The 27,260-nt window shown below is 38.2% G+C and overlaps 1 long non-coding RNA gene and 1 pseudogene across 1 annotated transcript; one reads left to right on the forward strand and one right to left on the reverse strand.

Moving 5' to 3' along the window:
• The first annotated feature begins 3,662 nt into the window (after positions 1-3,662).
• On the forward strand, positions 3,663-25,478 carry LINC02067 (long intergenic non-protein coding RNA 2067). Its single transcript, NR_102265.2, has 4 exons — positions 3,663-4,893; positions 6,581-6,699; positions 20,837-20,932; positions 24,080-25,478. It is a non-coding gene; the product is annotated as a long intergenic non-protein coding RNA 2067 (long non-coding RNA).
• RPL23AP42 (ribosomal protein L23a pseudogene 42) lies at positions 6,308-6,848 on the reverse strand (annotated as a pseudogene).
• Positions 25,479-27,260: the final 1,782 nt, after the last annotated feature.

Genomic DNA, 27,260 nt, shown 5'->3' on the forward strand with positions numbered 1-27,260 from the left:
TCATCAGCACCACCCATGTCATCTGCCCCCAAACTCTTTTCTCTGTCACCATCACCTTGGTCCAAATCACCATAGTTTCTCATCTAGTTAATTTCAGTAGCTTACTAACTGGTCTCTCTGTCTCTACCTTTGTCCCTGTAAAGTCTGTTGTGGAAAGAGCAATCAGAATGATTCTTCTTTTTTTTTTTTTTTTTTTTTTTTTGAGATGGAGTCTCTTGCTCTGTCGCCCAGGCTGGAGTGCAGTGGCGCGATCTCGGCTCACTGCAAGCTCTGCCTCGCGGGTTCACGCCATTCTCCTGCCTCAGCCTCCCGCAGAGTGATTCTTCTTATGCATCCAGAAAATGTCCTGCCTATGCTTAAAATGCCAACTTTTCTCCATCTCATTCAGAGTGAAAGTCCAAGCCTGAGGCTGCCAAGGCCTTCCACCCTCCGGCCTCTTGTTCCTCCCCACTCCCCAACCCCTGGCTCACTTGTCTCAGTCACACTGGTTTCCTTGCTGTTTCTCACCAGTCAGCTCTTGCAGCTGACATCCCCTCCCTGCTTGGATTTGTCTTTCTTCAGATTGAAGTGACTCTCATCTCCCTAAGCTGTCTGCTTAGATGTCATCCACATGTGAAGCCTCCTTGGCCACTCCACTTAAAATGGTCTCCGCATGTATCTCAGTGTGCTATATCCCTTTTCCGGGCTTTATTCCCTCCTAACACTCCCAAGCCTGCCACACTCCAATGTGTATATAGGATGCGTGGATTTGTCTCTCCTTCATGTCCCAATCCTGTAACAAGTAAACTTCCTGAGGTCAAGGATTTTTGTTTTCTTCACAACAATATCCTTAGCACTCAGAAGGATACCCTGCATATCTTTATTGAATGGGAAGAAGAAATTAGGTTTTATCTTGTTATGTGGTAAGCCAAAGGCGCAAAATAATTAGAGTCAGGAATTAATCTGGTTGTCTTTAAAGAATGGCTTTTCAGGAGTCAATTGCTTTTCCTGTTTATGCTAATGGTTTATGAAGATTCTATTATAAATCATACTGCGAACATCATTCTAGAAATAATGATAATTTAAGTAAATGGATATAATAAAGAATGCTAATAGAGGCATAGTTTTCATTTGAAGTAATGATTATAATTATTGAAATTCCATTTGTACATTTTCATGTGTTGAAACAAATTAAATAGAAAATTTATAACAACGTAACTTTTATATAATAATGTGTTACATGCATAATGAAGTATTTAACTTTATCATCATTGCAAGTATTTTTCAGGAAGATTCTTCTAGTAAAAGTAAATTGAAATCTTGAGAGCTGTAGAAGCCAGAGAAATAATAGATGGGCTAATATTGCCCTCTGGTGGAAATATTGAGACATGACAGATTGGATCATTTATTAAAGACCATGCCTTTAGCCCAGAGAAAGCCCAGGAATTGAAAGTTTCCACTCTATTATGTGATCTTACAGTGTTGTGTTAAATTTTTTAATTTAATATTTAAAACCTGAATTATATTAGATAGAAGGCTTGAATAAGCAATGTACAAAAAATACATGATCAATCAACTTCTGGAAAAAGTGTTCAAATTTCATTAGCAATACAAAAATACAAAGTAAGAAAAGACTGATGTACTGTTTCATCTCTCAAATCAGCAGAAAGTTTGAAAACAAAGGGATAGTGTGAGCAAAAGGGCGTTCATATGGTTTGTAGGGACATAAAATGCTACTGCGTTCTCAATCTGGGGTTGTTTTGGTCGGAAGGCTCCGAAGATGCATAAAAATTTGAACATATTTGCCCTTTCCTGAGAAGAGATGCAAAATCCATCAGATTCTCAAAGGGATTCATTCTCTCAAATGTTAAGAACAAATGTTTAAATTATTTGGGAGAATAATTTGGCAAAATGTGCAAGAAAGTTATGCGTATGTGTATTCCAATATTGTTTTGAATGCTTAATCACTATAAACCACCTAAATATTCAACAGTGGGACATTTGAAATAAATCACACTCCAGTTCTATGATAGAGTCAATGTAGTTATTAACAATCGTGCTGTAGAATTAATGATGCCGAAATGTTCTTTATACATGATGAGGTAGAAAAAGCAGTTTGCCATTTAGTACATGTGATATGATCCTGAGTTTATTGAAACATAAACATATGACGTGCATGAGAAAATATTTGGGAGTATCCATGAAAAATCCCAATGCCAGTTTGGGTAACTAAATGCAATGTGCTTGTCTTTATTTTTAGATAAATTTACAATGAATATATTACTTTTGTAATAAAAAGCATGATAAATATAATATAAAAAGGAATGATTAATTTTCTATCTATTAGAAGATTTGACACAGGAGATTGTTAACTTTTAATTAATCAACTGAACTGAATAGGTACAATTTGAAAAAGCATTTTAGAGGACTGGAACAATAATTACGTAATACTCCACATTGTTACTCTCTGCAGAAAGACCTTCTTAATATTTAAAAGCAGTTTAAAAAATCTGTAAATTTCCAAGCAAATAGAAAAATCTGTGCTATTCTGGACTTTTACAAGACACTAGAGCCTTTGTGAGTCTTTTCTAGAGCAAGACAGAGTGAAATAAAATAGAATAAATTAAAATGAAATAATTTAAAAAATTAGAGCATTAGCAAAGGTAACTAGGCCACTTTAAATATACAAATAAACTCTTACAATTTTTTTTGTTATTTTTAGAAAAAAGTTTACACTTCCTTCACCTTTTAGGAGTGAAAGGAGCAAAGGAAGTAAGAAAGGCTTGGGCCGGATGTGGTGGCTCATGCCTGTAATCTCAGCACTTTGGGATGCCGAGTCGGTGGATCACCTGAGGTCAGGAGTTCGAGACCAGCCTGGCCAACATGGTGAAACCCTCGTCACTACTAAAAATACAAAAAATTAGCTGGGCATGGTGGTGGACACCTGTAATCCCAGCTACTAGGGAGGCTGAGGCAGGAGAATTGCTTGAACTCTGGAGGCAGAGGCTGCAGTGAGCCCAGATCATGCCACTGCACTCCAGCCTGGGCAACAACAGGAAAACTCCATCTCAAAAAGAAAAAAAAAAAGAAAAAAAGAAGAAGAGGAGGTGAGGGGAGGGAAGGGGAGAGGAGGAGAGGGGAGGGGAGGGGAGGGGAGGGGAAGGGAAGGGAGGGAAGCTTGGTAGAGGAGCAATGATTCCTGAACTGGCTTTTTTTTTTTTTCTTTTTAAACTACAGGTGACCAAACAGAACTTCTCCAGTACAAGTCTGTCTGTCATTCCATTTGACATTGTATTGTAGGCATAAGCCCTGCCTTCCAGTTCCTTGGCAGTGGTGAAGCAGTATGGAGCTGGGGCAGGGAGGTGGCACATTATAGGACTGTGAGAACACTGCTCCTTTATACATAAAATTCCTACACAATGGATCACTTGAGGTCAAGAGTTTGAGACCAGCCTGGCCAACATGGTGAGACCCTGTCTCTACTAAAAATACAAAAATTAGCCCAGCTTGGTGGCAGGCGCCTGTAATCCCATCTATTTGGGAGGCGAGGAATGAGAATTGCTTGAAGCCAGGAGGCGGAGGTTGCAGTGAGCCAAGACCATGCTACTGCACTCCAGCCTGGGTGGCTGGGTGAGACTGTGTCTCAAAACAAAAACAAAAAACAAAAAACAAAACAAACAAAACAAACAAAAAATTCCTACCCGAGAAGACTCATGACTCTGGAACACAGTGAGTGCAGCTGTTATGGTAAGTGAAACAGCTAATGATCTGGCAGAACCTTCAAGATACAAGGTAAAGAGAAAAAAGCCAGGCGCAGGGTAGTCCACTTGCTGTCTTTTGTGTGAATCTATCTGTGTTTTTAAATGCAGAGACTAAAGGAATTGGCGGTAGGTAGGCATCGCCTCCAGGGAGTGGAATTGGATTACTGGGAGGCACAGAGAGAGGTGTACTTTCTTTTCACTGCAAACCTTTTGTGCATCCAGCCTTCTGCCTTAAAAAAAAAAAAATCTGCATATGGATCATTCTTCAAACAACAGAAAAAGGAAACCAAATAAAAAAAAATCTACCCAAAGAAAATTTTTTCGTAATAAAAATTGTTCCAAGCCTCAGAGCTGGCTCCCATGTTTTGAGCAACATCAGCTATTCATGTATTCAGCTGAAGCTCATCCTTAGGTTTTTGATCAAGCTGTGCCATGTTTTTCATTTCCTTTGATAGGGTTTCTCAGTTCCCGTCTTGTCAGTGAAGTGGTTTTTAGTTGAACTGTTATTTGCAATAGATGAAAGTAAACAGTGCAAGACATTAATTGTGGTGTTTCTACTTTAAAAACAATCAGATAAAATTCTAGAACAAGATTTGCTGTTCGGTAGGAAGATCAGATTCTTTTCCCTATACACTTAATGCTACGTATTCATGCTCCAGTGCAGACTGCTGGCAAGGTAAAGAGGCTGACAACCAGAGTTGTAATTAGGTCCTGCTTGTTTCCTTTAGAGTTTACAGTCCAGAAAGTTCATGGAAATAATGAGAGTCTTATAGCATTTTGTTATGCATTGAAATGTATTCTCATATGTTAAAGTCCTAATCCCCAGTACTTTAGAATGTGACCTGATTTGGAAATAAGGTCATTACAGATGTAAGTAAAGATGAGGTCACACTGGAGTAAGGTGGGCTATAATCCAATATGAGCATGTCCTTGTAGAAAGGGAAAATATTTACACAGCCACATACACAGGGAGAACTCCATGTGAAGATGAAGGCAGAGACCAGAGTGATGGTTCTACCAGACAAGGAATGCTGAAGATTGGCAGCAAACTACCACATGCTAGGAGAGGGTAATGACACAGATTCTTCCTTGCAGCAATCAGAAGAAAGGACCCCTGCTAACACTGGATCTCTGGCTTCTGGGATCCAAAACGGTGAGACAATAAGTTTCTGTTGGTGAAGCTGCTTCATTTGTGGTAGTTTGTTGCAGCTGCCCTAGCAAACAACTACATATTCTAGTCCAATTAGAATCAAGAAGCAGAATAAAATTGGAAAAGAGAAGGCAGACCATGACAGGGTGGCCAAATTATCTCCTTCTTTTACAACTTTAAAATCTTTTTTAATGGTAAAAGAGCATTCTGTGTGTGAATAGCAAAATCGAGAAACTCCGGTTCCCAAATCGTCAAGAACCCTAACAGGTGTGATTGATTGAGCACTGACTACAGGTGCCAGCCCTGGTGCTTGGTGCTTTAACTGGATTATCTTTCTTTCTTACAGATAATGCACAAGGTTGATACAATTCTCTCCATGTTACAGGTGAAGACACTGAGACTCAGAGAAATAAGGGGAAAAAAAAAAAAAAAAAAAAAAAAAAAAAAAAAAATCCCAGGGCTGCACAGGTGTTAAGTAATGAGCTCAAGATTTGGGCCCAAGTTTGATCGGCACTGTCAAATTAAGAATTGCTAAACTATAAATTCATCAACTGTAATTTCGAGATGTTTCTCCAACCTTTCTTTTGAGTATGCAGGATTTGAATTGTTTTTAGAGATAGGCTCTCACTCTGTTGCCCAGGCTGGAGCCCAGCAGTGCAGTTATAGCTCACTGCAGCCTCAAACTCCTGGGCTCAAATGATCCTTCCACCTCAGCCTTCCACAGTGCTAGGATTACAGGCATGAGCCACCATTCCCAGACTGAATTTATCCATTTTAGATAAAATGCAGAGTGGCAAAGCTGGCATTGGGGACAGGTTGAATGGTGGTGCAGTCTTTAGAACCTGAAAAAAGGGGCTGATTGTGTGTGTGCGTGTGTGTGTGTGTGTAGTGGACATTGGTAGTCTGTGCTTGTAGTAAATGATAGTTCTCCTAATGAAATTGATGTGTTGCGATGAGACTCTGAAGAACATGGCAAAAATCCTTTAGCCTATTTTTTATCATTTTAAGAATGGAAGGAAAGTTTTACTGTAGGATAGCCTTAGTGACATCTGGTGATTTTGTAACCTGAAGTCAATTTATCAAGTCAAGTAGATTTTCCTGGGTAGGAAATATTATTTTCTTTTTCATTCACTTGTTGAACAGAGTCTTCGAGTTATTTGGAATTTCTACTAAGTTTTGTGGTTTTTTTAAATAGCAATTTTAAACTCTATAGCTTCCCATAGATTGTTCCATAATGCTAAAATTTATAACTTAATCCACTCAATATATAACATTTGGCCATAAGAAAATGATATGTAAGTTATGATACTTAGTGAAAGTTTTTGGAATAAATAGTTCTGGGCACATCTGTCCTCTCTACAAAGTAAGAGAAAACTTGTTTTTCTTCTAACTTGAACATATGCTGTGTTTTTTTTTTTATGGTGAAAAGATATATATATATATATATTCAGAATTAGGCAGCTGGACTCAGTTTAGATGATCCCAATTTTGTTGGCAACATCCAAAGCATCGTAATCAGGAGCCAGTCGAACATATGCCTTCTTCTCTCCATCAGGCCGAATCAGGATGTTGACCTTGGCCACATCAATGTCATAGAGCTTCTTCACAGCCTGTTTAATCTGGTGCTTGTTGGCTTTAACATCCACAATGAACACAAGTGTGTTGTTGTCTTCTATCTTCTTCATGGCAGACTCAGTGGTCAGCGGAAACTTGATGATAGCATAGTGGTCAAGCTTGTTTCTCCTGGGAGCGCTCTTCCGAGGATATTTGGGCTGTCTCCGGAGTCGCAGTGTCTTCGGCCGCCGGAAGGTGGGTGACGTGCGGATCTTCTTCTTTTTGTGGCTGTGGACACCTTTCAACACTGCCTTCTTGGCCTTTAAAGCCTTCGCTTTGGCTTCAGCTTTAGGAGGGGCAGGAGCTTCCTTCTTCGCTTTCGGCGCCATGTTGTGAAAAGGGTCCATATGCTGTGTTTTAAGGTAGATTTTTATTTAAATGCAAAACCTTGTTATTTTAAATATCAAATGAAATCTTATTTGCTTTTATCTTCTCTTATGCATTCCAATTAAATTTTGTAATATATTGGCTCTTTCCCCTTATTCATGGGAAGTTAGTAAGACAAAAAAATAAGACATATAGATGTTTCATTTAAAATTTTGTCACATCTAAATAAAGTCTAGCAAAATTGTTGTATCTAACACCCCGTAAGAATGGTATATTCTCTCACAATCTTCTCTCATGTAATTTGAGAGATTTGTATTTTTGCTCTAAAGACATGCATAACCTCTGAGCACTTTTTTTTTTTTTTTTTTGAGACAGAGTCTTACTCTGTCTCCCAGGTTGGAGTGCAGTGGCGGGATCTCGGCTTATTGCAACCTCCGCCTCCTGGGTTCCAGCAATTCTCTTGTCTTAGCCTCCCGAGTAGCTGGGACTATAGGCGCGTGCCACCATGCCCGGCTAATTTTTTGTATGTTTAGTAGAGAGAGGGTCTCACCATGTTGGCCAGGCTGGGCTCGAACTCCTGACCTCAGGTGATCCACCCGCCTAGGCCTCCCAAAGGAGCATTTTTTTTCTTTATTTTTGTTATACAACAGCATATGTGAATAACTATAAGAAGCCATTAAAAGTCTTCTCATTGGGGAATAGAGAGTTTCTTTAAATCACTTTTACAATAACATTTATTGCCCTGTTTCTTTCAGGTGTGTGATTTCCAATTTACTCATGTAAGTTCTCGGATGAGCTGCCTAGAGACCTATAACCCCGTTCCTATCTACAGCACTGCCCAAATAGTTATTGGTCTTACAGCATGACAAAGCATTTTAAACAAACCTCCTCTGTTCATCCAGACTCTTTGTATGAAAGAGCTCTGAAACCGATCCAGGCACAGATGGCCAGGTTTTACCAGTGTTCCCAGCCTGTGTAACATCCCCCCCGCCACCATTTTCCACAGTGAGATAGATGGAGTGGAAAACAGTATTAATCTTCAAAAGCAGAATTATTGCATTATTGGTCCCCAAGAACCAATCCTTTTAAAACAATTTGCCATCACAGACTGGGTGCCATTTTACAGAAACATGACCTAGAACAGAAGAAATCTATATTCTAATGATTCAGCTGATTGAGTCCACAAAAGGCATTGCCTTGGTCAATCAATTTGCTTGTGTTTTAGAGATACCAGCAAACCCTACTGTGCCTAAAAACAAACACAAAGACACCAGGAGAAAACTAGCATTAAGATCCTTTTCTTTTTTAGCTAGTTGTCATTCACTGCCTAAATCATTTCCCAGTTTTTTTTTTTTATCTAAAGCAGTTTACTTTTATTAAATTTTTCAATACAAATAACAACTGGGTTAAAAATTATTAAATCAACTCTATGGGCTGTTTTTAAATGCCCTGTTTCTGATGATGAAAGCTAGGCTCAGCAGCCTTGAACCTTGATTTAGTCAGTTCAGGCTGCCATAAGAAAATATTACAGACTGGGCGTCTTAAAATCAAACATTTATTTCGCCCAGTTCTGCAGGTTAGGAAGTCCAAGACCACGGTGCTGGCAGACTCAGTGTCTGTGAAGGCCCACTTTCTAGTTGGCAGATGGCTGCTTTTTTGCTGTGTCCTCACATTGCTGGTGGTGGGGTTGGAGGTGGTGGGGGTAGTTTGGGGAGAGAGCACTCTAGTTTTTCCTCTTCTTATAAGCACACTAATTCCTTCATGGGAGCTACACTCTCATGACCTCATCTAAACCTAGTTACCTCCCAATGGTCCCACTTTTTTTTTTTTGTGAGGCAGAGTCTTGCTCTGTTGCCCAGGCTGGAGTGCAGTGGTGTGATCTCGGCTCACTGCAACCTCTGCCTCCCAGGTTCAAGCATTTCTCCTACCTCAGCCTACCGAGTAGCTGGGATTACAGGCGCCCACCACCATGACCAGCTAATTTTTGTATTTTTAGTAGGGACGGGGTTTCGCCATGTTGGCCATGGTGGTCTTGAACTCCTGACCTCAGGCGATCCATCCACCTCAGCCTCCCAAAGTGCTGGGATTACAGACGTGATCCACCACGCCTGGCCGGCCCCACTTCTAAATACCATTACACTGTGGGCCCAAGTTTCAACACATGAATTTTGGGGGAACACAAGCATTCAGTCCATATGAACACAGATTTTTGGTAAACTAACTCAAAAAACCCTTCTAGGCCAAAATAGTTATATCTAACATCTTTTTAACGAGAGGTTTCAGCCTCTGCAGGTTAGAAAGCAAGACAGAGTTATCAAAGAAGTATCCGTCATTCCGTTTTTGTTTTGTGTTGCTTAGGGTTATCACATTATTGTGTTTATTTCCAAATTTATTCTACAAATGTATTGAGTGGCGTATATTTAGGAAATACTTTTTCTAGAATTGTAAGTGGTTTCTCCAAAAAGACAGAATGCTAAGTCACGTGGTATTTCCCACCACGGGCATGTGCTACCTTCTCTTTTGAATATAAATAAATCATGTACGCAGAAGAGATGTTGACAGGGTTTTATTAAGCATGCCTTTTCTTTTTTCAATCTGTGGCCTTTTGGAACATTGTAATGAGGTTGTTTCACCACAGTTCCAACTTGTCGTTGTCAGTCCAAAGCCTACATTTTTTAATAGGGTAAATGAGTGTCCAGGGATGCTGAAGATGAGGCAGCACTAGGGGTTATGTAGATATGGACTGAGCAAAGTCTTGGGGCATCTTATGCACCTTATGCAGTCTTGCCAGAAGATTAGTGGGCTTGCTATTTTATAGGTCAACTACTAAAGGAACTCTCATTAGTGAGACTGTTACAAGGATATTTTGAATTAGAAGCTTGATACTCCATTACTTGTGGGTTGAAACTGATGCTCTGCTGAGATCTTGGGAGGTGAGGTACATCACCATGTCCTGGGTTGAGGTAGAAGATACTCAAGACCCTGCAACCCTGACTTGGAACATTGTAAGAGGAGATGGGAAAAGAATTTCTAGGGTGAGAATTCTTCCTGTGGGAAGGAATATATCTGGAATAAAGAGGCTTGAAGATGTTATCTACGCCGGGTAGTGGGTAACATTTTCCCTTGCATGTTGCGATTCCTTTCTGAAAAGTGCCTGAACATGCCTGCACTGCCTGTTGAGCTAGTCTTGGGTCACCACAGAGTGGCAAAGGGAAAGGGAGCCTTTTCTATTCCAACTCCTCCCAGCCTCCAGGGCAGAGACAACTTCAGTCTCTCAGGGGGTTGTGCCGGCGGATGGGGATAGTAACAAAAGACAGAAAGAGTTCTCCCCAAAGCCAAAGCAGGCAGTGTCAGACCCTCCCATGGTGCTGGAGGAGTAGCCTCAACGGACTCTGCCAGATGACACTAACACAGACTTTCTGGCAGTCCTGGTAAAATATAGAGGGGGAGAAGGTGGTACAAACTCCTGAGTTGCTTCAGTAAGGGAGGAAGAGGAAAGAGGCCATGCAGAAGAGAAGCTATGAGCATGCACAACCATAGTTTTCCTAGAAATTTTAGATATATCGAAATTTCGTCTGCTACTCATGATCAATATCTGTTAATATTTTCTAAATGGAAACAAATGATTCTTTAAAGGAAATGGTGTCAAGTGCATTTTGACTTGAATGTAACATCAGTCTCTTCTCACACACCAGGCTGCAGTCATGTAGGCTTTCTGTCAATTCCTAGAACTTTCCTGACCTGAAGTCTTGCTCAGGCCATTTGCTCTGCTGGGAACACTCCTACTTCAGCTTTTTGCAGAACTGGTTCCTTTTTACCCATTATGAGGATTCTAATGTTGTAACTTCAGAGAGTGAATCTTGACCTGTTTATCTGCTTAAACCTTTGCCTCTGTTGAAGTCCCTGTTTATCTCCTTTCCAGAATATCTCAAAACCTGTAATTATTTCATTTATGTATTCCTTTTCTTGCTTCCTGTTGGCTTATCCCACTGAAATATAATTTTCATGAGGGCAAGGATTTTGTCTATCTTAGTTACCTTTTGTCTTAGTACCTGGCGCAGTGTTTGGCAATTGGAAAGTGCTAAATTTTTTTTTTTGGTAACTGATGATCAAATATAAATGTGATATATTTATATATTTGCCTTATAAATGTTAGCAGCAAATTCTCAAAAAGGTTCTGAAACCTTTGTCTCAGTGGTTTCAAGAAACCAAACCCTTAATACAAAATTGTTAGAGAGATTCTAAAGTCATTCTGACAGGTTGTAGTTCCTTTCTGAATGAGTTAATAAACAAAAGAAATCTCATTTATGTTCAAACGTTTTAAAAATTGCTCTTCCTTCTTAATTATTTGCTAATAATTTTTTTAAAGTTGGTGCACTGTGTGGTAATTGCACTGAAAGAGAAGGTAGTCTGTTTTCATGTCTGCTACCCCAGTGATTATTATTAGTATTGATCTCTTGGTTTGGCTGCATGGGAGGGGAACCACACATTTAGCACCACAGCAAGTTTCGCAGGTGGAAAAAAGCCTTTCTTTGGCTACAGGTACTGGTTTCCTGATACTTTCCCTACTTCTGGTTCAAAAATTTAGTGGACGACTTTGTTGGGAAACAATTCTTCATGGGTTTCTTGTGTTTCTGCATGTTTTGTATCAGTTTTTGTTCTCAATTATTTTTCCAAGGATGTTTGTATGGTAAATAGTTTTGGAAGATGCGATAGTGTCTATCTCTGACAAGGACAGATTTGTTTGCTGTCTGGAATAAAAGGATATTGTCTTGTTCTGGAACAAAGGTTGGGCAAGTTTGCTAGCAGCCTTTTTGTAAGATTGAGGGCTTCCTAAGATCAGGGGTCATCAGTTGGGATACAAAAGCATAGTGTGAGTAACATCTGTGCTGGCCACTGGACATATCCCTGTAGAACTTGTGTGCATTCAGAGATGGGAAAGGGAACTGAGGTGAACACGAGGCTCATGCTATCTGCTGTGCCTTGAGTAATAAAGTCCTTCTTCTCTGACTCCTGAGTTTTTTTTTTTTTTTGCCAGCATCCATAAAACTATGTCTTAGATGCTTTTCAGCTCTTGAGACTTAATTTCAAGGAAAACCTATGCTGTGATTATTGTTATTTTTTCTATGTGTAGCTTTGTTTTATTTATTTATTTATTTATTTGCCTGTATCCTTGTTTGGCAGGAGGGCATTTATCCCAAAGATTCCCTTTCCCTCACTTCTAGTGAGTTCTGACAAGCACCCAGCTAGTATGATCGATTTTTGGTAAAATAGAGAAAAAGGAGAGTGTCAGAATAATAATCTGGCCACTGTATATAAAAAGAAGCATTTAATATTAATTCAAGAAAGGTTTCCTGTGTTGACAATGTTTCCTTCTGCAGCTCTTTAGGGAAGAGATATTTTTATTTATCCACTATCCATTTCTTCACATGTGCCCACAAAGAGCCCCAAACATCCTACTCCCAAACTGAGAGAAAGACATAATTATAGCAGAGTGAAGTGATCATATGAAACTTCCCACAGATAACACTGATAAAATCTGAACAAAATATTAAAAAAAAACACCAACTATGTAGAGGAATGGGAAAGTATCCAAAAACAAACAGAAATAAGGTAAGTTTACTCCTGAGAAACTGCAACTGAAAGTGGTAAGAATTGCAAGTTTGTGGCCTGTTACCTGATAGTGCTCCCTAATCCCTGCAGGTAGGAGAAAATGTAGCTTTACCAGGCTAAACAGTGTTCATGGCTTAAAAACCTGTTGGAAATTTAAGAGGGAGACTCTGGCAGAGAATGAACTGTAGAAAGGATGAGACTCAGAAATCTGAGCATACACGCTGCCCACACCTCTTCTCATCATTAAAGTCTGTACGCACAGAGACCTCAGGGACCCAGTGAAAAAGCAGACAGAGACCCCAGAGGAACAGACCCTTCAAAGACAGAGCTGCATTGTGAACATGAGTTTATTTCTATGAGATGCGTCCTGGCTTGAAATGTCAGAGGATAGAGCCTGAGGCTGGAAGAGTAGTAGGAAATTAAAAGTTTAAAACCCTACTAGGGAAAAAATACACACTACAAATTAAGAAATGGATGAAATGCAGCTTTCTCTTTTATAGAGCATGGTATTAGTCTTGAGGAATTATTGGCCTTCTGGGAGTAGTACTTCCAGCTTATATTCCTCTCTGAACCCCTGGATTCCTTTCAGGTGGGGCTATATCCTTTCAAAATTAGCAAAGAACAACTGAGGAGCAGGTAGACAGCATAGGGTAATCTCATTTTCACCAATTGTGGGTAATATTTTTCCTTAAAATGTGACATTTTGTCTTTAAAGACATTTCTCTTCTGACTTCTTCCCTAATGTCTCTTCTTCCACTTCCATATTAATATGTGTGACTCTCAAGACTCAGTTCATTTGTCTTCATTACACTTGTTCCTTCGAAGAACTCACTCATTCTCATTGCTGTGACTATCAATTTCCTGTGGATGTTTCTCATATCCATAATTTAATTGTTTTTTCTATAAGAAGAAAATTGGATCCCTACCTTATAGTATATAGAAAAATGAACTCCAAATGGATCATAAACCAAAATGGAAGTGCTAAAACTATAAGTCTCTTAAAAGAAAACCTATATGTAAATCTTTGTGACCTTGGATTAAGCCATGGATTTTTTAGATACCTAAATACAAGCAACTGAAAAACAAATTAGACTTCAGCAAAATGAAAAGCATTGTCTTTAAAAGATACTATTAAGAAAGTGAGGATCAATACCAAGAAGAGCTCTCAAAACCACACAATTACCTGGAAATTAAACAACTTGCTCCTGAATGACTTTTGGGTAAATAATGAAATTAGTCAGACATTAAAAATTTCTTTGAAATAAATGAAAACAGAGGCACAACATACCAGAATCTCTGGGATGCAGCTAAAGCAGTGTTAAGAGGAAAGTTTATAGCACCAAATGCTTACATCAAGAAGTTGGAAAGATATCTAATTAGCAATCTAATATTGCATTTAGAGGAACTAGAAAAACAAGAACAAACAAAACCCAAAGCTAAAGGAAGAAAAGAAATAACTGAAATTAGAGCAGAACTGAATGAAATTGAGACCCCAAATCCATACAAAGGATCAATGAAACAAAAAGCTGGTTCTTTGAAAGGATAAACAAGATCTATAGACTGCTAACTAGATGAACAAGGAGAAAAGAGAGAAGAACCAAATAAATGCAAACAGAAGTGGCAAATGTGACTTACAACTAATCCCACAGAAATACAAAAGATCCTCAGAGACTATATGAACACCTATATGCACAAACACTAGAAAATCTAGTGGAAAGAATGGATACATTCCTGGAAACACACAACCTTCCAAGACTGAGTCAGGAAGAAATAAAAACCCTGAACAGACTAATATTGAGTTCTAAAATTGAATCAGTAACAAAAAACCTACTAACCAAAAAGAGCCCTGGACCAGATTGATTCACAGCCAAATTATACCAAATGTAAAAAGAAGAGCATGTACCAATGCTACTGAATCTATTACAAAAAATTGAGAAGGGACCCCTCCCTAACTAATTCTATGATGCCAGCATAATTCTGATATCAAAATCTGGCAAACACACACACACACACACACACACACACACACACACACACACACACAGAAGAAAAAAGCAAGAAAACTGCTGGCCAATATCCTTGATGAATATAGATGCAAACATTCTCAACAAAATACTAGCAAACTGAATCCAGAAGCACATCAAAAAGTTAATTCACCATGATCAAGTAGACTTTATTCCTGGGATGCAGGGATGGTTCAACATACATAAATCAATAAATGTGATACCACATAAACATAATTAAAAACAATAGATGCAGAAAAAGCTTTTGATAAAATCCAACATCCCTTCATGATGAAAACCCTCAAGAAACTAGGCATCAAAGGAACATACCTTAAAATAATAAGAGTCATCTATGACAAACTCACAGCTAACATTATACTGAATGGGCAATAGCTAGAAGCATTCCCCTTATGAACTGGAACAAGACAAAGATGCCCACTCTCACCACCCCTATTCAATATAGTGCTAGAAATCTTAGCCAGAGCAATCAGACAAGAGGAAAAAAAGAAAAAGCATCCAAATAGGAAAAGAAGTTAAATTATCTCTCTTTGTTGATGATATGATTCTATATCTAGAAAACCCTAAAGACTTCACCAAAAGATTCCTAGAGCTGATAAACAACTTCAGCAAAGTTTTAAGATACAAAATCATTGAACAAAAATCAGTATCATTCCTTACACCAATAATAGTCAAGCCAACAGCCAAATAAATAATGCAATCTCATTTACAAAAGCCACACACACAAAATAAAATACCTAAGAATATATCTAACCTAAGAAGTGAAAGATATGTACAAGCAGAACTGTAAAACACAGCTGAAAGAAATCATAGATGATACAAACAAATGGAAGAACATCCCATGCTCATGGATCAAAAGAGTCAATGTTGTTAAAATGGCTATACTGCCCCAAACAATCTACAGATTCAATGCTATCCTATCAAACTACCAAAGTCATTTTTTACAAATTTAGAAAAAACTAAAGTTCAAATTCATATGGAATGAAAGAAGAACCTGAGTAGCCAAAGTAATCCTAAGCAGAAGCATCACCTTACTTGACTTCAAACTATACTATAAGACTACAGTAACCAAAATAGCATGGAACTGGTGCAAAAACAGACACATAGACCAATGGAACAGGATTTATCCAGAAATAAAGTCACACACCTACAGCCATCTAATATTTGACAAAATCAACAAAAATAAGCAAAATCAACAATGTTTTGTTGACAAAATCAACAAAAACAACACACATGCATGTGCAGGTGTGTGTGGGCGCTCGCCCCCTTTTTCCCTGCGGCTGCTACCCCTTAAAGGTAGTATAAAAAAAGAAAAAAAGTAAGCAATGGGAAAAGGACTCCCTATTCAATAAATGGTGCTGAAATAGCTGATTAGCCATACACAAAATGAAACTAGACTCTGGTTTTGCAACATATACAAAAAGTAACTCAAGATAGACCAAAGATTTAAATGTAAGGCCTTAAACTACAAAAGTCCTAGAAGAAAACCTACTAAACACCATTGTGGACATCAGCCTTGGGAAAAAATTTATGACTAAGTCCTTGTAACAAAAACAAAAATTGACAAGTGGGACCAATTAAACCAAGGAGCTTCTACACAGCAAAAGAAACTATCAACAGAGTAAACAGAAAACCCACAAAATGGAAGAAAATGTCCACAAACTATGCATCCAACAGAAGTCTAATCTTTATAGATTCTATAGTCTATAGAATCTATAAAGAACTGAAACAGTCCATCAAGCTAAAACAAATAAACCACTTAAAAATAGGCAAAGGACATGAACAGACACCTCTCAAAAGAAGACGTACAAGTGGCCAACAAGTACATAAAAAAATTCTCAACACCACTAATCATTAGATAAATGCAAATCAAAACTGTAATGAGATACCACCTCACACCAGTCAGAATGGCTATTATTAAAAACGACAGCAACAAAAAAAAAAACAGGTGCTGGCAAGGATGGGGAGAAAAGAGAATGCTTATACATTGTTGGTGGAAATGTAAAATAGTTCAGCCACTGTGGAAAGCAGTTTGGAGATTTCTCAAAGAACTGAAAACAGAACTACCGTTTGACCCAACAATCCCATTATTGGGTGTATAAATTGTTCTACCAAAAGGACACATGCACTTGTATGTTCATTGAAGCACTATTCACAATAGCAAATATCAACCTAGATGCTCATCAGTGGTGGACTGGATAAAGAAAATGTGGTACATATGCATGATGGAATACTATGCAACCATTACATAGAACAAAATCATGTGTTTTGCAGTAACATGGATGCAGCTGCAGACCATTATCCTAAATGAATTTATCCTATAACAGAGAACCAAACACCGCATGTTCTCACTTATAAGTGGGAGATAAACATTGAGTACACATGAGTACACATGGACTTAAAGATGGAAACAGGGCACTACTCAAGGGGGTAGGATGTAGGGGAAGCCAGGATTGAAAAACTACCCTTCAGAGACTATGCTCACTATGTGGGTGATGTGATCATTTGTACACCAAATCTCAGCAACACACAATTTATCCACATAAACCTCCACATGTACCCGCTGAATCTAAAATAAAAGTTGAAAGAAAAAACAACCCACAAGAAAGATGAGGCTGGGTGCTGTGACTGATACCTATAATCCCAGCACTTTGGGAGGCCTAGGTGGCAGGATTGCTTGAGGCCCAGGGGTTTGAGACACCACCCTGGACAAAATAGCAAGACGCATCTCTAAAAAATAAAAAAAAATTAATAAAATTTAAAAATAAGATACAACCCACAATGGGAAAAATATTTGCATATTATATATTTGCTAAGGGCCTAGTATCTAGAATATATAATTTTATTTTAACCTCTCTGAAGTTTCAATGAATATTTATAATTGCCAAGTGAATACTGTTTTACTCTGATCTCTAATGCAATGAATCTTAATTGTTTCTTTTAATGGTACCATTGTTGATCAATTGATTAAGGCTGAAAGTCATTGTCTAACTTTGATTTCTTTCTCTCTCCATAGCCAATAATTTACTAAATCTTCTTGCCTATTTATTATATATATTATATATTTTAAAATATTTTTAATAGCTGTTAATTAAGCCACATCCATTCCATTTTTACATTTTTACAGTAAATCCAAACCGTTTTTACAGTTTCCCTTACCATTCAGATTCTCATCACATTACTTAGGCAATTAAAGTAATGCCCTACTAGGACTCCTTGTGCCCAGCCTACCACTAAACACTAAAATTTGTGTTTTTATTATACCCCTCTGCTTTAAACAAATAAAAAAATAGCAAATAAAAGCCCCATGCCTGCAAAAGTCCATCGCCACCTAAAGAAGTTGTTCTCAAATACTAGCATGAGTAAGAATCACCTGGAGGGCCATGAAAAATACAGATCCCCAGGCCCTGCCCCTGATGATCTGATTTATTAGATCTGAGGTAGTGCCCAAGAAACTGCATTGTCAAAAAGCTCCTCTGTAGCAGGTGGCTCTTGCTGACTTGTAGGATTAAGTCCATCTTCCTTGAGTGGGTCTTTAGTGCTAGCTCCATCTGACTGCAGCCTTTTCTTAACCTTTCTCCACTATGCAAGCCTTCTGCTTTTTGACAGACAGCAATCCATTGTCACCAAGCACACACTATGCCAGGAGTTTTAAAGCCATGGCCAATGAGTTACCTTCTAGGGGACATATCAGGAGTTTAAAAACCAGGTATACAAATACTTAGACTTAAAATTTTTTTTCAAATTTTCTTCCTGTTTTTCAGAAAATGGTATTATGAAAAAATGTTTTATGTTAATATATAAAATTACATTATTGTGGTTTGTTTCAGCTCAAATATCTTGTACTGCAACTGTTTACGAGCTAAAAATGGATTGTTATCATGTCATATAATCTAAGATTTATTGATTAGAATTAAAGCAAATGTGCTCTGCCATTATGATTATTAATATTTTTGTTTGTTTGTTGATATTGGGTCTAACATACAATTAGAAAATGTTGAAGAAAATAAAATGTGACTATAAATATAGTAGCTTGGAAAACCTAACACTCCTAAACTCTTCAAATTAAATATATACACACTCACCACAAAGATGCACAAACATACAAACTTAGATGATTCCTTCTGAATGCCTAGGTTACCTCTATTTTTCTTCCCTTAAGTAAGCACATCTTTCGAATCTAATAAATGCTTGTGATTTCAGGCAAAGAATTAATAGGAAGGTATCTCAATAGAAGATAAGAAATCAGGACGTAATACTCTTTTTATCTCCCTTTCCCCACCTTTGGATGGCATTTGTAATTTTAGTTTACTTTAACTTCCCATGCCTGTCTATGCCACAATAATATTTGAAGACAATGAAAAAATACCAGGCTAACTTTAATGCCCCAATCTAGCCACTGCTAACCAGCCGTGGAATTCCTATTAAGTGACCATAGGCCATTTTGAATGTTAGATCTATATAAAACTGCAAAACTGACTTTTATAAAGGAACAATTGGCTCAAGCTTCTGTGTTCTCTTTCCTTACTGTGATCTGTAGCTAGATGCCAGGCCCATGGATATAATGCAATGGTGACAAAAAAGGGCTGGCTCAGGATAGCCCAGTCTACCAATGGTACCATAGCAGACACTTGAGGCTCATAGCAATGGAACTCCTATTGTACCAAATTTCCTATGAGTCAAGTGTACAAAAGTATAACATAAGTATCATTCTCCCTAAGATCTAGAAAGGTTTGACTTAGTCTCTATTCCACACTCTGTGGGAAAGTCCAGTGCTGTTCCCAAGATTTTTGTGGACTCTCTAGGGACACACCCTTGGGGCATCTCTGAGTCTGATTTCTTCTTTCTTGAGTTCTGGTTCTCCATTCTGTGCTTTGTGACTTTTTCTTTACCTCCTCTCTGGCATCAATCTGAGTGTGAAATCAGCTCTTTGTTTTCTTTTAAAACCCCACTCAATGTGTATGGATATAAAAGGAAACTCATTATCACAACATTTCAAACAAAGTAAGAGTGAGTATTAGGCATCTCTGCTCTTAAAATTGTTTTGGCCACTCTCTCCTACTTCTTCTACTCTTTCTCTCTTTCTCCTCCATCCAGTCCTTTCAGTAGAAAATAAAACAATTTCCCCCCAACTCATCCCCCAAACCTTCACCCCTTTCTCTCAATTGTCATTCTCTTCAAACACACATTCTGGCCTACCTTTAGCACGGGACTCAGCAGAAACTCAGAAATCACCCCATTATTAGAGGTTCACAAAATTACTTTCTTGCGTGTGGGTTATAGGATATTCTTTTACTGCTTCATATAAAATTTGTGTCTGTATGTATGGTTTTATTACAAAATTAATAAACTACTCTGATTTGAATGATAAGTCATTGAAATTGCTATACCTGCTTTTGGCAAATGCAGAAAAAATATTAGGGTTCAGATAGAGTTTGTTGCCCAAATTTCACTTCCATTCCTCCTTTATTGTAGAGTTCTGGCAGAAGGCAATACACAAAGATTGGGAGCTAGAAAGAAAACAACATGACTATTTATTAAATGATTATAATTACCAATGTACCTGTTATTGTCTGGGAGTACTCAGGCCTATACCTGTCTTGTACCACTGGGGCAGAACTCCTGAGAACCACCTTTCCCAGACCCCCTTGACAGCTGGTTTCCAGTTTGGTTCTTCTAATGGGATGGACTCCTGTGTGATGAGAGGGAGCGGGTAGAAGTCACTTGAAGGCCCTAGACTTCTGGTTCCAGCTGCATTGCTGACATGCACCTGTGAATGCTTGCAAGGTGCCAGTGGCAGGAGTAGTGGCAGCAGCAGCAGTGCATGTGTGCTCTGTGATGGCTGCCCACTGCTTAGGGCAGACCAGTGTGGCCTCCTGCAGGTCCTGGTCTCTGAGAGACATTACTTTCCCCTCTTGTCTTCCTCTAGGCCTTCCAATAGTATAGTAGCTTAATTCTCTGGATTAGGTTCTTTTCTGTTTTAAATAATTAGAGAGCTTTCTATTTTCCTGATTGAATCCTTGACTAATATCCCTCTATAATATGGCTGTTCTGGTAAGCTAAGTTAGAGGACAGGAGAGCTACTAAGGCCCGAGGCTTGAACAGGCTTTTTCAGAACTAAGATGGCTGGATCTGAAGAGAAGATTTTGAGCAGACTTATCTTCCCAGTCTAGGGAGGAGCTGCTGGAATGCAGAAAACGTTATGAACTTGCTCCAAAGAACCAGAGCCACATACACGTGCTAATTAGACTAAAAAACAGAATAGAAGAGAAACACCAGAACATGGCTGCTAGCCTTTTAAGAAAAAGCAGCCTCAGCGGCTCATAAAATGCAGGCCAATGACCTATCCATTGATAATCTTCTTCTTCTAGGAAGAAGAGTAAGGGGGAATGTGTGGAAGTACCCAACATGGATGGGGAGAGCTGGAAACGTCTGCCTGCTCTGAGCTGTGTTGGAAACCTGAGGAGGTGGGAGAAGCTGTTTCTGCTTATAACAGAAAACTGAACTCATTCTATCAGCCTAGCAGGAATGAGAAGAGGCTTATATTTTGTAATTGAGATACTCACATGGTTAAAATGATGAAATGTATATTTCATTGGGTTTCTCTTTTATCACCAACACAAAAGCTGGCATGATTCCTGTGTGGCTGAGTTCTTGTCAATGGTATCCCAAATCCCAAACAAAACCAAGGAGATACTTCATGTCTGACCATTCTGAAACTCATTGGAAAGTGTGAATCTTTTTCTTGAAACAAAGACTTGATTTGAAACAGCCAGGATTTTATACACACTCATATTTGACCCTAAATAAAAGCCTTGACTTGATGCCTGTTAGAATGCTAATTGGGCACCAGGAAAGAAAGAAACTACTCACATCGAGAGATCTTGATGAAACCGTGTGCCCTGGGAATAGTCAAGCTAGGAGTAGCATGGGGCAGGGAAGATAATTGAAGTAGTGTCTTTCCTAAATTACACAATTCTCTATGTAGCTGTTGACATTTCTCCTAATGTTTCATGACTGATCATAAAGTCAACACTAGTTTCTTCCACAGTGTTTTTCAGTGTAGCCAGCTCCTATTGATTGTCTATTGTGTGCATTCTGATGCTATCCAAGAAGTCCCATTTTGTGAACCTCTTTTGGAAACTGTAAAGGTTGTCAACAGTTTCAAAATGATGCAGTGTTTCTTAGCCAAGCAAAATTTGCCTGAAAGAAAAATCTCAATTTCTTGTGTGCAGACAGGACCCCTGTAATGCTTGGCACCACCCTGCGCTTTACTGCTTGGTAACATGTCAGGGTGATTCACTGTTGTTGACATGGGCATGCATTGGCATCAAAAGCCTTTTCAAAATTTTTGAAGGAAGCTTTGCTTACTGCTATGAAAAGTGTTAAATTTATAACGGCATCATTTCAAGATGTTTTGTCAAGAGATGGGAGCAAGATACAAAGTTCTTCTCTATTCCACCATTTACTGGCTTTCCCAAGAGCAAATCTGGTAATAAGTGATTGAATGTCACATGGAACTTTCCTTTTCTTGAGAGAAAAAGAAAGTAAATCTACTTTTAAAATAATTTTGGCATGAGAATAGCTCGCTTGTGGCTTGACTTACATAACAAATATTTTTGGTTACATACTTAAGGTAAATCTTTCGATTCCGGGTTCTGCAGTGACAATGGGTGCTACTGAAAAATTACAAGCTCTTTGACTAAGCTGTTGCTAGAGGTGGGCAAGTATGTGAACTTTTTGATACTGGATGAAGATATACTTTTGTACTCTGGAAATGGGAAAGCCAAGGAGATAGTGATATATAGATTCCTGGCAATGTGGCAGAGTTCTTTTGAAAGTTATTTTATTTAAACAACCTTAAAATAGGAATCTGGATTTGCAATTTTTTTCCTTGCTAACAAAAATAACACCAGTAATTCAGACTTGCTAAAGATACCCTCATTGATATGAGGACAAAAGAGAAGACTTGACTCATATTCAGTTCAAAGTCCTGGGGAATTCTGGTGTTGTTATGCACAAAATTATTCTAACCTGGCAAAATGAGTGATGAGTAGCTCTGATTCCATTTGCTGTGGGCAAAATGCTGTAATATTAAAAGCTGGCCCCCAAATCTCTTTTAGAGAAAACTCTGTCTAGAGTCATACACTGATAAATGTGTAACTGGGATAGATTTTGTCGCTACTCAGTTTCTCTCAAATATGAGATTTGGTCACTTGCCCCTCCAAGACTTCCAACTGCTTCCTGGTGTTAAGGACCCCTCTTTCTGGAAAACTTCGGAAAAGTCTGGACTTTCGGAAAAAAAAAAAAAAAAAGCAATGTCTATTCAGCACATTTTGGATGGTATGTGCCAGATAAATGTCCTGCTGATCCATGGATGACAAGTTGTCTTCCATCAGCAATGGGAAGAAAACTGACATAGTTCCTCAGTGTGGTCATTGTGTTTCCTGTGACTTCTACTGGAATGGCTGTGGGTGATGGCATTGGCTCAGCTTCTATCAGGCTCCCTGTGGAAGAGGCTTTGGAAGCTTGGCTTTCCTTGATGGTGACTCTGTTCTTTCACTCCCTATCCTTTCCTCCCCCACCACAATTCAGCCCTTCTTCCTACCTCCCCTCAGGTGATGCTCCAGAACACTCTCCCCTTCCTGCCACCTCCTTATCCCAGGAACTTTCATTTAGTCACCATGGAGATTCAAGGGTAAATTTTCTGTGCCTCCTTCAATTTTTTTTCTAATGAATTTCTATGGATCAAACTCCATGTCCTGTTTCCCTTAAGGCTTTCCTGCTTTGACACCTAATAACCTATTTTACATATAAAACAGAAATCAAGAGGTGAACAAAAAACAAAAACCCTGAATCATGTTTTTTTCTTTTCGCATATCTCCCTTTCTAATTCTTTTCAAGGCAATGTAGATGCCTCTGGTGTACTGGGGAGGGTCAGTACAAAGAAGTGGCACAAGAACACCAAAAACAAGGTACAACAATTACTATTGGGTAAACAGGTTGCCTAAAGGTGTTAGGGTGTCAGTGGGTCCTAAAGCTTCAAAGATTGGTCATAACTGCTTTGTTTAGTAAAAAGGGAAAAATTAAGAGCCAGCAAAATGGTAGAGGTTTTGTTGATGGTCACATTATTTGATGTGACCTCTCCATGGGAATCCTCCCAAAGATACAATCAAATCTATTACTATTACAAAAGCTTGATATGTGGAAAGGGGCTAAGATGGGGTCAGTGCTGACTGGGATGGGGCAGAATGTAGGGATATCAGAGCTTAGAAGTGGAGGAGGCAGGCAGATGCCAGTTGCTGCTGACCTAGCAGAAACGTTGAGGTAGAATTTTAGCTTTCCATTGGCTATGAAGTTACCTAGTATAAGGGATTTTACTTAAAGATCAAGGAGGTAATGCAGCCTCCAGCTGTCTAGAGAGTTATAACAATGCACATCTTTGTGATTAAGCACTTATTAGAAACAAGAGATATAAATAAAGTGTGTTATGTCAAAGATCACTACAATTTTAACTTCTTTTTCTCATTAACTTCGGATTTCTTATTTCTGAGCAGTCATCAAGTTCATTTTCATTTCATATAAACAATTTTTATTCATTTCAACTTTTTTAGGAAGTTGCCATTAATTTCTGCAAGAAAAAAATGAAAGTGTACCAGTCAGAGTTGTTAAAGCAGAAAAGGATTTTACTGAAAGAACATAGGATTGCTCCCAGAGTTTCCAGGAGGGCTGATGAACAAGCCTTGAGAAGCCAGCAGGAAGAATGGCAGGCCAGGCAGGCAGAGCCATGGCCAAGACTGTACCACAGATCAACCTCAGGGAAGCACACTGATGCCTCTACAGGGACTCAGACATCTCAGTTTCAATCAGTACCACCAATGCCACTGAACACTGGACTTGGCTGCTGCTGCCTTCACCACTGTAATGGATTCTCCACTTTGCCTGTTTCTTTGTCCAAATTCACAGTGCCAGCCTGCTGCATTTAATTGACCAGGTCTGTTTCAGTCACCCATGACTTAAACTGCCAGGGGTGCTGGGGAACAATCATCAGGTTTTGGGGTTCCCATGCTGGGAAGTGGGCATGAGCAGTGAATGGAGTTAATAGAGGGATGATATACCAGGAAGTTAAAAAAAAAGAAATTACAGTCATCTACAATATTGAGAGAAATGATTTTTTATAAAAAGCAGTTTTTCTTCTATGCTGCCTATGTGAAAGCAATAAATATCCAAAGCAATGTTATGAGTAGTGTATTAAAATTAACATGGGTATTTTAAGACTTCTTTGGGAGGTGAGAGCAGGTCCATATGTACATACAAATCATTTTTGAGATGGCCCCTGGAGGGGGTTCTGTGGTAAGAACCTGAGGAGGGCCTCTTAGAGTAGTCCTGATTGATAGTTGTCAAGAAAACAGGGACTTTACTTGACAACTACAAGAATCTTAATTTTTCCAACCACCAGTGAACTTGGAAGAAGACTTCAAGTTTTTGATGAGATCATGGCATTGACTGACATCTTGATTTCAGCCTCGTGAGATGTTGATTAGAGGACCAAGTTATCCTGCTCTGGACTCCTTACTTAAAGAAACTCAGATATTAGATTTGTGTTGTATTAAGTTGCTAAATTTATGGTAATTTGTTATGCAGCAATAGAAAACTAATACAGTGACAAATAAAATATTACCAAAATGTTCTTCAATAGGGACAGATTAAGTAAATGATGATACATTCACACAATGGAGTAATATTAGTTTTAATAGGAATAAAGAATATCTGTGTGAGGTGTTTTTATATGCTAACTTTTGTATAAGAAAGACTATGAATACATACACACCAATGCTTATATTTTCAATATGAAATAGTAGGATGATAAATCAAATTAAATAAAAAATGGTTACTTAGAAGAGGAGTCAAGGACCAAAGAGAAGAAAACAGGATTGACAAGAGAATTTTGTAAATATACCTTGTTATGTTTTTGACTTCGGTACTATGTAAAATGTTTACATAATGAAAGCTAAAATTAAATAATAAAAAGAAATCCCTAAACATTAAAAATGGAAATAAACAAACCTAGCTGCATATCAATTTGGTAGCAAAATTACACAGATAAATTTATTATTTAAAGTGACTTTAAAGCACAGTATTTTGACTATTTCTGCTTAGTGGGATGTATCTAAGGACAGATTTATGTATATGGCCTAGGCAACCACTAATTGACTTCAAGTAGGACAAACACAAAGAAGTCCACAATCAGGTGCATTATAGAAAATGCTGAAAAACAGACAGAGAGAAAATCTTGAAAGGAGTGAGAAACAAATTGAGTAATTTCTTCATATACGCACAAGCCCCAATAAAATTAATAAATGATTTCTCATCAGAAACAATGGAAGCCAGAGATAGTGGGATGACATATTCAAAGAGCTGGAAGAAAAAAATTGTCAACTAAGAATCTTTTATTCTGCAAAAAAGATGAAATAAAGACATTCCCAGAGCAACAGAAAATGAGACAATTAGTGGCTAGGAAACCCACCTTACCTGAAATACTAAAGGAAGTTTTTCACACTGAAAGCAAGTGAGTCCAGATCTTCATTCAAATGCACCCCCTAAAACAAAGAGTACTGGTAAAGGTAATTGTGTAATATAAAATAAGTATAAATAAAATATTTCTTTTTATTTCTTTTCTTAGGTACAGTTTAACAGCAATTGTATAAAACAATATGCATATACAGTTGAACTTTGAACAACATGGGTTTAAATTGTGTGGGTCCCCTTATATGTAGATATCTTTCAATAAATATATTGGAAAATTTTTTGGAGATTTGTGACAATTTGAAAAAAAACTCATTGATGAGCTGCTTAGCCTAGAAATATAAAACAATTAAGAAAAAGTTAGGTATGGCATGAATGCATAAAATATATGTGGAGACTATTTTATCATTTACTACCATAAAATGTATAAAAATCTATTATAAAAAGTTAAAATTGATTAAAATTTATGCACACAAACACTTACAGGCCATACATGGTGCCATTAGCAGTCAAGAGAAATGTAAACAAATAAAAATATGCAGTGTTAAGTCATAGTTGCATAAAATTAACTGTGATCATACTGTGCTACTGTAATAATTTTGGAGCCACCTCCTGTTGCTATTGTGGTGAGCTCAAGTGTTGTGTATATCTCCTTAAAATACCATATGATGCTAATCAACTCCACGTGAACAGGTCACCTCTCTGATAAACTTCTGATTGCAGTGCAAAGTGATCTCTCATGGTTATTTTATATTTTTCATCATGTTTAGTGCAATACCATATACCTTGAATAGCACCACGAGACCTATATGAAGTGCCACTAGTGAAGCTGTATGTGCTCCTGAGAAGCAGAGAAAAATCATGACATTACAAGAAAAAGTTGAATTGCTTGATAGTACTATTGATTGAAGTCTGCAGCTGCTTTTACTCACCATTTCAGACAGGTGATTCATCTTGTAAACAGGCAACACAAATTATGGTATCAATAAATACAGTACAGTACTGTACATGTATTTTCTCTTCCTTATGATTTTCTTAGTGACATTTTATTTTCTCTAGATTACGTTGGCATTGGAGCCAACTAGAAGGGAGTTCCCTCGTGGATGGGACAATGTGAGCATCAAAAGGAATGACTGCATCAAACTGAAACACAACACATATATAAAAATCAGTGAGTTTGTAATGATACCAAATCAAAACTAACAAAATATCTCACTATTCACCACTGGAGGTTGCCAGAGCACCAATTATTTCTCTGAAAAACTGAGC

The sequence above is a fragment of the Homo sapiens genome, chromosome 3, assembly GCF_000001405.40.
Source record: "Homo sapiens chromosome 3, GRCh38.p14 Primary Assembly".
In the NCBI taxonomy this organism is placed as follows: Eukaryota; Metazoa; Chordata; class Mammalia; order Primates; family Hominidae; genus Homo; species Homo sapiens.